Raw genomic sequence first — 9952 nt, 5'->3', positions numbered from 1 at the left:
ACATTTTGATAGAAAGAATAAGTTCTAGTGTTCAATAGCATAGTAGCATGACAATGCTTATCAGTAATTTATTATGTATTTCAAAATATCTAGAAAAGATTTGGAATGTTCTCAACACAAGGGAATGTTAAATGTCTGAAGTGATGGGTATCCTAAATACTCTTTCTTGGTGATTACACATTGTATCACATGTACTGCATAAATATGTACAATTATTATGTATCAGTAAAACATAAATAGATAAAGAAGCACAGAGTTGATGTCTTATTTATCTTTGTGACTTCTCAGATTTTTTTTCAGTGTTTTGTGCATAGGATATACCAAGAAATTTTGTTAAATTGAATTAAATGGAATGAATCCAACTAATTCTAAGTAATTAGAAATAATTTGAAACCCTGTTTCAAAACTCAGGAGAGATTTTAAGCCACACACTTAATTTACTCTTTTAATAATGCTGCTTGTCCTAACATGAGGTACCTTGAAACATTTTGAAATGGACAATTAATTATGGCACTTGCATTTAGAGAAGTTTAATGCAATGTGCTATTTCAGGTTGATATTTTCTTTATAATATTTAGAAAGAGGAGCTTTACTTTTTTGTAAATTTGATAGATTTTTATTGACTAAAGTCAACTAATTTATCTTGATTTTTCCCATTTATTTGATTAATAATAATAAATATAAAATAAGCCTTACTGTTTAAGTCACTGCAGTTGAGCAGAACAAATGACATCACAGGCCAGGTTCAGGTTTCTCCTGACTCATTACAATAATGTCTTCAACATTTGGTTTAGCTTTGTCTTTGCTATCCCTAGGGATATGCAGTTTCATGATAGCATAATTTAGAAATGCATTGAAGATAATTTGTAGTATAAATCTGTAACAATAGGGTTCACCATTATTTTACTGAGTTATTCAATTGTATTTTGAAGATTCAGTAACTGCTATCATTAAAACTTAATTATTCAAGTAACTATTTGGGTATCAATTAAGCAGTCTAAGGATAATCTGTGCCTTTGACTTAATTATATATATTTCCTTAGAATTATTCTCTGTTTTGTCCTATTTTTTAATTAAAATTTTTTATTTATTCTAAAATATTTTACTAATTAGGAATTTGAGTAACAGAAATGAAGCCTGGTTTAGAATGCACAAGAATGTGATTTAGAGCTAACACAGATGTGCTGATCACAAGAAGACCTCTAGAGATCATCCAGCCTTTCCTTTACCTTTTTATTATATTCAGGTTCTCAACAGTTTGGATAATGTTTCACCTGTGTCAGCAGATTTTCTTTACTCAGTCTACCAATTCAAATTCTAATTTCTTCCAGAAACACCCTCACAGACACACTCAGAAATAATGTTTTACCAGCTATCTGGGCATTCCTTAGCCTAGACAAGTTGACACATAAAATTAACCATTACACATTTGTAGTTAAGGGTGGCCATGCTAAAAATTTTGCAAATGTAACATACTTGGGAGTAACCTCTTCTCCTTATTCTTTTTCCTTCCTAAAACTCTGGAGGTACAGTAGTTGTTTTGAGACCATGGAGACTGAATATACTATAGGGAAGAAGAGCAGGACAACTAAAGGAACTGGGTACCTGATGGCATTATTTAGATACAGAATCCAGCCTGGATTGCACACTCCCAGGTTTTTGCTGTGTGACTAAATAAGAATTAACCACTACATTAGATTTTCTTGCATTCACTTGAATGCAATCCTAGCAGCTACACTCAACATATCTCTAATTTATATTATCCTATGTCTCTCACCTTTCTTCTTATTTCTCACCTTTTCTCATATCCATGAGTGGTACTCCCATTAGTCCAGGATCTCAAACCAGAATTACAGAGTGAAATTCAATTCTTCCATCTCCTTCATGATCCTGTCCTCCTAATACCTCTTTAACATTGCATCAGTCCATCTACTTCTCTTTGTCCTGCTGCCATATGTTAGTACAGGATTTGCCTAGATTATTGTAGCAAACTTTTTTTTTTTTTTTTTTTTTTAGATGGAGTTTTGCTCTTGTTGCCCAGGCTGGAGTGCAATGGCAGCTATCTCAGCTCACTGTAACCTCTGCCTCGCGGGTTCAAGCGATTCTCCTGCCTCAGCCTCCTGAGTAGCTGGGATTACAGGCATGCCCCACCATGCCTGGCTAATTTTGTATTTTTAGTAGAGACAGGGTTTCTCCATGCTGGTCAGGCTGGCCTCGAACGCCCGGCCTCAGGTGATCTGCCTGCCTCGGCCTCCCAAAGTGCTGGGATTATAGTGTGAGCCACCATGCCCGGCCTGTAGCAAACATTTAAAACTGATCTCTGTGTATTTAGTCTTGCTCTACTTCAGGACATTCTCAATACTGCAGCAAAAGTTATTCTAAAATGCAAATCTCATTTTGGCAGGGATGCTGCTAAATATCCTACAGTGCACAGAACGGCCACCAACGACCAAGAATTATCCAGTCCAAAATGTCAGTAAAGCTGAGGTTAAGAAATCCTGTTCCAGAATATCACATTTTTTGGTAAGTCTTCTGTTAGGCTTAAGTGATTTTCTCTTACCCCAACATACCCATTATTGTAGTGGATTTTATTGGTCTGTTTGTCTCACCCCTGAGTAAGGTCAGAGTTCATATCTTACTCATTGTTGACTCCTCATTACTTAGCACAGAACCTGGCACAATGAAGGTATTAGTATTTTTTGAATTACATTGCAATTGAGCTTGTGTATCATTAACTCAAAGAAGACCCTCTTGGCTTACTCCAATCGCTTGAGAGAGCTCAACTCTTCTCCTTATTATACCACTTGAGAAGAAGAGGCTTTTTTGCAATTATTAGGATTCAGAGATTTTGGAATGAGGGGAAAACAAATTTAAAACTTTTTTTTTTTTTTTGAGATGGAGTCTTGCTCTGTCGCACAGGCTGGAGTGCAGTGGCATAATCTTGGCTCACTGCAGCCTCTGCCTCCCTGGTTCAAGGAATTCTCCTGCCTCAGCCTCCTGAGTAGCTTGGACTACAGGCACACACCGCCATGCCTGGCTAATTTTTGTATTTTTAGTAGAGACGGGGTTTCACCATGTTGGCAAGGATGGTCTTGAACTCCTGACCTCATGATCTGCCCTCCTTGGCCTCCCAAAGTGCTGGGATTGCAGGTGTGAGCCACCACGCCTGGCCTAAAACTCTTTTTTTTATGTGGACTGTTTTTTGAATTGCTCCTTTTTCTAAATCCCCAAGTAGCTGATATCACCAGAAGGCTTTGGGAGAGGTAGAGCATCTGACTTGGCAGGGATTCTCTACTTCTCTACTAGGGACAAGGTGGAATCCAATGGGAAGGATGTGGGGTGGGCTATTCGACTGACTGTGCTCTAGTCTCTAAGAAAACACTCTTCTTCGGGTTGGTCATTCCTTTGTTGGAGTGGAAGACCTTGATGGCTAAAGGTAAGATGTTGCCTAGGAGAAAGGAACATAGGCTAGGAGGAAGGGGGCCAATTTCTAGTATAGGCCTTAGAAATATGGGCAGAGGAGTCCTTAAAGCATGTACACTCCTCAGGCCTCACCAAGTGTAGCAGTTTACTAGGACTATTGTAAAAACATACCACAGGCTGGGTGGTTTAAAACAACAGGAGCTTGTTCTTTCACTGATCTGGAGGCCATTAGTCTGAACTCAAGATGTCGGCAAGGTGGGTTCCTTCTAGAGTATCTGAAGGAGAATCTGTTCCCTGCCTCTCTCCTTCCTTCTGCAGGTTGCTGGCAATTATTGGTGTCAATAGCTTGTAGCTTCATCTCTCCAATATCCGCCTTTGTTGTCACATGGCCTCCTTCCTTGTGTGTCTCTGTGTCTGTCTTCTTATAAAAACATTAAGTGACTGAATTTAGCCCTAGTATCCTACTCATTCCCTACCCCAGTATGACCTCATCATAACTAATTATATCTGCAAAGACCTTATTTCCAAATAAGGTCATGAATGAGGCCCTGGGTGGACATGAATTTTGGGGGAGACTATTCAATCCACGTAGGTGTGGGAGTCTCCTAAGGAGTTTCTAGTCAAAGCCCTGTAGAATGAAGTGTATATTTTTTGCAGAGTCTTCACTCTACAAATATCTCACAAATTTACTGTGGGGACAAGTGGTGGATCCAGAATTTAGAAATGCCTTTTTTTCTGGCTACCCTCATTGTAACAAATACATCTAACCTTGGTTGTGGCTCTTTAAATTTTGTAGGTGTAGCCTAATTTATTTAACATGTGTGGTATCCTATTTAAATTTTTTCAACTGACCAAAGTAAATGGTTACCAAAGTAAATGGTATTCTGCCACGTAGAATACATACTCTGTTGTATTCTACGTGGCAGAATACCATCTTACCAGAAGATTGGAGTAAGCTTATTGATAACTCATTATATATCAGTGGTGGTAACATATTGAGTCAAAAGAATCAGCCGCATAATATAAGAGGAGGCCCAGTACTTTATTCTTAAAACTCAAAACTCACATTTCTTCTCTATAACATTTAAAGATTCCATCAACCCAATGCAAATTCTTTTTCTCTTCACCATAGTCAAAAACATATCAAGCACTTAAAGGGGCTATCTTTTCAAAATTGTGATTTAAAAAACTCACAAAATCAGAATTGCTAGTTTTGTGATAGCATTACTTAAAGGAAGATGGGCAAGGAGGGTGTTGCAACCAGAGTTTTAGCAGGAGGCATTACATCACAGTAAGCTGCGTCACGGGTGTCATTTGTGATGATTTGAAACCATAGAAACAAATCAAAGCTACAGCTCATGTTTGCATTGAGCTAAGATTGCAGGCGCGTGAACTGTTCACACCACCAAAAATGGTAAGAATTTTTACCAGCCCAACATAGGTTCAGGTACATTTGTCCTGTCTCAATGCATTTGTGAGCACTTAATAATGTTGACAGTTATGCAATCATCTCTCTGGTCTCCTGACATCGTTGAAAAAGTGGCTTCAGTTGTTTTTTATGATAATTCAAGCTGGGGGTGAGAATAGCTTGAGAAGAAATAAGATTGCAAAGCTAAACGGTAAAATGACCATTAGCACCATGACTGTAAAACAAAATCCACCGTAAAATGGCATAGGAAAGCACTCATGCCTCTTTGTTAGCATATGGATGGTATATACAGTTTAGAGTGCTTAAAAAAGAGATGGAAAGCAGCCATCTTTGACACATTAACCAAGGAAATAAAAATATTGAATTCCTATTAGTTACAATACCACTTGAGTAGAAATGAGAAAGATAATTGAATATGCTGGGAATTTTAAAAAACTTACCATTAAGGAGTATGAGCTATTTTATTTCTGTTGAGAATTAGTCTTGAAAACATAAAACTATTGGGCATAATAATTTAGGGAAACTTCTTCTGTTTGATATTATATATGAAAAAATCCATACACGAAATACAGCCAAACAGAATTGATTTTGAATACGTTGAAAACTAATTTTTTCTTCTTTAAAATAAAGGACAGAAATGTTTTAGAATAATGATTAAACTTCAGATTTCTGCAGCTGTCTCTACATTTGTATATTAGAAATTAGATATCTTCAAATGATTCTCCTCCATTCTTCTACTAACAGCCATAGATTGACAGACCAAGGGTCACATCTGGCTCTCAAGTGTGTTTCTTTTGACATTTACAGTTTCTTTAAAATTGTTTTCAATGTGAATGTCTTTCTTTCTCCAACTGGTCTTTTCTACTAACCTTGATTTTTATTTTCCTGTTCTTTTTTTTTTTTTTTTTCCTTGACCTTCTAATGTGTTCGGTTGCATTTTCCATGTCACAATAGGGTCTATCTGATGCCATTTTTTCTATCTCAGATAACTGTTTTCTTCAATCTTCTGAACTGCGGCTACTGTTCTTTCTAGATTCCTGAAAATCTGCTTTCTCCATTAGATTTGTCATAATGATTTATAACTTGCTTTTCTGTTTTCCAACATGCCTATCAGCAAGATAATATAGTACAAAGAAACAGAATGCTGACAAAACTCAAATTGGTTTAATTTCTTTTTTTTTTTTTTTTTTTTTTTTGAGACGGAGTCTCATTCTGTCGCTCAGGCTGGAGTGCAGTGGCGCGATCTCGGCTCACTGCAATCTCTGCCTCCCCTGTTCAAGCAATTCTCTGCCTCAGCCTCCTGAGTGGCCTCCTCTGAGGATTACAGGTGCCCGCCACCATGCCTGGCTAATTTTTTTGGTATTTTTAGTAGAGATGGGGTTTCACCATCTTGGCCAGGCTGGTCTTGAACTCCTGACCTTGTGATCCACCCGCCTAGGCCTCCAAAAGTGCTGGGATTACATGCGTGAGCCACTGCTCCCAGCCTCAAGTTGGTTTAATTTCTAAGTACTCCCCATTGCTCTAGAATTGATAAGCTGGCTGGACACCAAACTGGTATTAATAAATAGTTTTCCTTCTATCTCTACCAGGGTCATCACTTTTATTGAGTATTAATTTTATTGATTATTAATTAATTCATTATTAATTGACTTGTAGAGTAATTTCACTGCTGTAGAAAGAAGACTAGTGACAAAGATGGAACAGTGAGAAAAGCACCACATCAGAACTCTGTGAATCTCTTGCTACTAATTTTGCTCAAGTACCCATCCCTTTAGCATACCACCTATGTTTAAGGAAATGGCTCCATCCCCAACTCAGGCAAATGTATTCTGATTATTTTAAGCCATTTATCTTAGTTCCATGGTATCCTTTTTAGGCCAAAGAGATATGAGGAGGGGTTGGATGAAGGCTTCTGGAAAAATTTCTCCACTTTTAAGTAGGTAACACTGAAAAATCAGACCTTTTCAGCTTCTCCACTTCATTCTGTCTGGATGTGATACCTAGAAATGCTACCAGCTGAGGAAGAAGCCAAAATGTGGAGAAGGACAGAATCAAGAGAATTGCAAAGAAGCTGAGTTGGAATCCTGACAAACCACGCTGGAGTGGCCCTACCTCCGTTGTTTCAGGCATTTTGAGTCAGGGCTTTCTGGTACTTACAGTCAAAGGCATCTAAATGACAGTCTCCAAAATTCACCATAGCATTGTGTAAGAGGCAAAATACCCTGACTTACTTAACCTCCAGAAATCTCTTTGTTACTTTGTTATCCTTTGGTATAAAACACTTCCCAGAATTCTTTTCTGGGAAAAAAAATCCCTGCAGAAAAATTAGTCCAGTGCTACACTGAGAAAGTTACTAAACAGTTAATCACTATTTCAATTTGATTATAATTATTATAACTTCTGACTGCAAAATAGTTTAAAGTTTGCGAATTGCTTTGTTTCATTTCATTTAATTCTATTAACAGCTCTGTGAGATAGAGGAAAAGATGAAGATGTGAAAAATGGAGCACAGAAAGATTACAATATTGACCAAGATCATGAATCTAGAAAGTGTCATAGTCAGGACTTAAGTCTAAGTCCTCTGATCTAGTGCTCTTTCCATCAAATGACAGCTAGAGGTTGGAGCAAACCTATGAGTTATGAGAGAAGTAGGAAGGCAGCTCCAGACCACTTGCAAGGAAACTGGGATCTGCTCTGGGTTGTGTCATCCACCAGCTGTGAAAACTTAGCTGAGTCATTTTTATTTCTCTGAGCCACAATTTCAAGGAACTACACTAGACAATCTATTATGTGCTTCCGATTCTAACATCCTATGGCTCTGTAACTGAGAATGCTTATGCAAATAAGGTACAAATCATGCTTTATATAAACTATGAGTCTTCCCCGGTGACTACCGGAGAAACCCACTGTGTATATTCTGCTGGGGTTCTATTTTAGCTTCCACATTCATGTCCCATGAACACCTGTGAAAATGTCAGCAGTTAACAGATGAGTTGAACATCAACTTAAACTAGCTTTATAACCCAAGTCACGGGCTTCTCATTTGCAGAATAATTTTACTCTAGAGCTGCAAAAATCATTCGTTGATGAGCTAATTTTGTCACTGTGATTCTTAGAACACATTTAAATGGGCATAAAAAGGCAGTCTTACAGAGTCTTCAAGATGCTTATTTATTATACACTCGAATGGCAAGTTTCCACAATTAATTGTCCTATGACTGATTTCCCTTCACTATTTTAATGAAGCATGTGATATTTGCTACCTCAATAGGTTTAGGTTTGCAAATTTAGCACTAGAGGAGCTATTTTCCCCTAAGCAATTTGTCAGCAGTTTGAGAAAATTGTCATCAGGGAAACCATGTACTTTGGCTGCAGTTTCACAGTCCAAAAGCTTGTCTTCACACAGACAAATTATTAAGTCAAAGAAAATGTAGCACAGCATCACTTAAATCTCTGAACTAGAAACTAGTCTATGTTAGAAAGCACAAAATGATACTAGCAGAGAAATTGTAAAGTATAAAATAATGCTTTATGAAGAATTTTAAGCACTGGCTGACTAGAAATATTAGGGGTTATGGCTACATAAGGAAAATAACTAAAGGGGTATGGGGAAAAGATTGGAGGAAGTCCAGTTGAGTGTGGAATACAGTGGTTTTTGCCTTTATTCTTAGAAAAAAGATGCTGGAAATTGAGTCCTCAGAGGAATGAATCAAGTGCAAAGGTGGTGATATAAAACCTTGTGTTAGGTCTTTTTCTAAGTGTCCTAACTTACATTAGTCAAGTAAAATAGAATCTATTGGCTCATATAAATGGGATGTCCAAAGGGCAGGCTGAACGCCCGACTGTAACCAGGCACTCAGATGATTTCATCTTTCAGCTCCGCATCTTGCTGGATATTGGCTTCCTTCTGTGGGTAAGCTCTTGATACACACTGGAAAAGGTGGCTACAGGAAGCTCAAGGCTGTATCCTTTTCCTTCCCAGGGAAGTATATGTAAATTGTAGGAAACCATCTGATTAGCCCTGTTTAGTTCATAAACTTACCCTGGATCAATCACTGTGCCAAGGAGATGGCATACTCTTATTGGCCAGCCTGGGTCACTGCTGATGCCTAGGTTAGGGAAGCATTATGACAGACATTCCATTGGGAACTTATGTTGTAGGGGTAGGGAGTTTACCCAAAGTAAGGGATTTTGGACGGACAAAATTGTAGGTCTACTTGAAGGTTCTCTTGAAATTTCTTATAGTTTTCATTTTTAACACTAAACCTAAAGCTAAAGAACTAAAAAGAAAAGTGAGTCATGGACAAGCTTTTACAAATTATCCCAAAATACTTTGCCCTAAATTAGAATAAATAAAATAATTAGAATGAATAAAACTTAAAGTAGGTAGTGTGCTCTTTTCATCTAATTCATATTTTTACTATAAACTTGTTATTAAAAGAAATACAAATTGCTAAATGTAAAATGACTGATAATTTAGAAGAAAATTTAAATAATCATGAATTAGACGATGCTTTCCTAATGGCAGAATCCATCCTCAATTATTAATTTGTTTCCACACTTGAATAAATCTAATGTAACCCAGGAGATACTGGAAATGATGTGCTTATTAACCTTAATGGAATTAGTAATTAGAGTGGGTTCCATGGAACAGACTCTGAGATGAAAGACATGCAGACTTATAAGAAAGGGAGGAAGGCAGGATTAAGCAGAGGGAAAAGCTGATCTGCCACGCAATTGCAACTGAAATCTCAGCCCATCCATAGGAGCTCTGGAGCTGGTGTGGCCCTTTAAAGTTCCTAAATTGAGGCAAGGGGCCAGGCCTTTGTACTTCTACATTGACCAGTTACTTAATGCACGCTGACCCAGGGTGGAGAGAGGGACATAAACGTGGGCCAGGAAACTCCCTCAGCTGAGGGCAATTCCTAGGCAGGGACTCAGCTGTGAGCTTTAAGCAGAAAACATTGCTGGGAGCTGGGGGAGTGAATGCCTTAGAGCTTTAGCGCATCACAGCATCCACTACAGGGACTGCCGCTTGAAAGACATATCATGACAGTACTCAAATGCCAGGACTAGTTTCATTTTGGTCTCCAGACGGAA

This window comes from Homo sapiens, chromosome 1, assembly GCF_000001405.40.
Source record: "Homo sapiens chromosome 1, GRCh38.p14 Primary Assembly".
Taxonomy (NCBI): domain Eukaryota; kingdom Metazoa; phylum Chordata; class Mammalia; order Primates; family Hominidae; genus Homo; species Homo sapiens.
Note: the sequence above shows the minus strand (reverse complement) of the source record.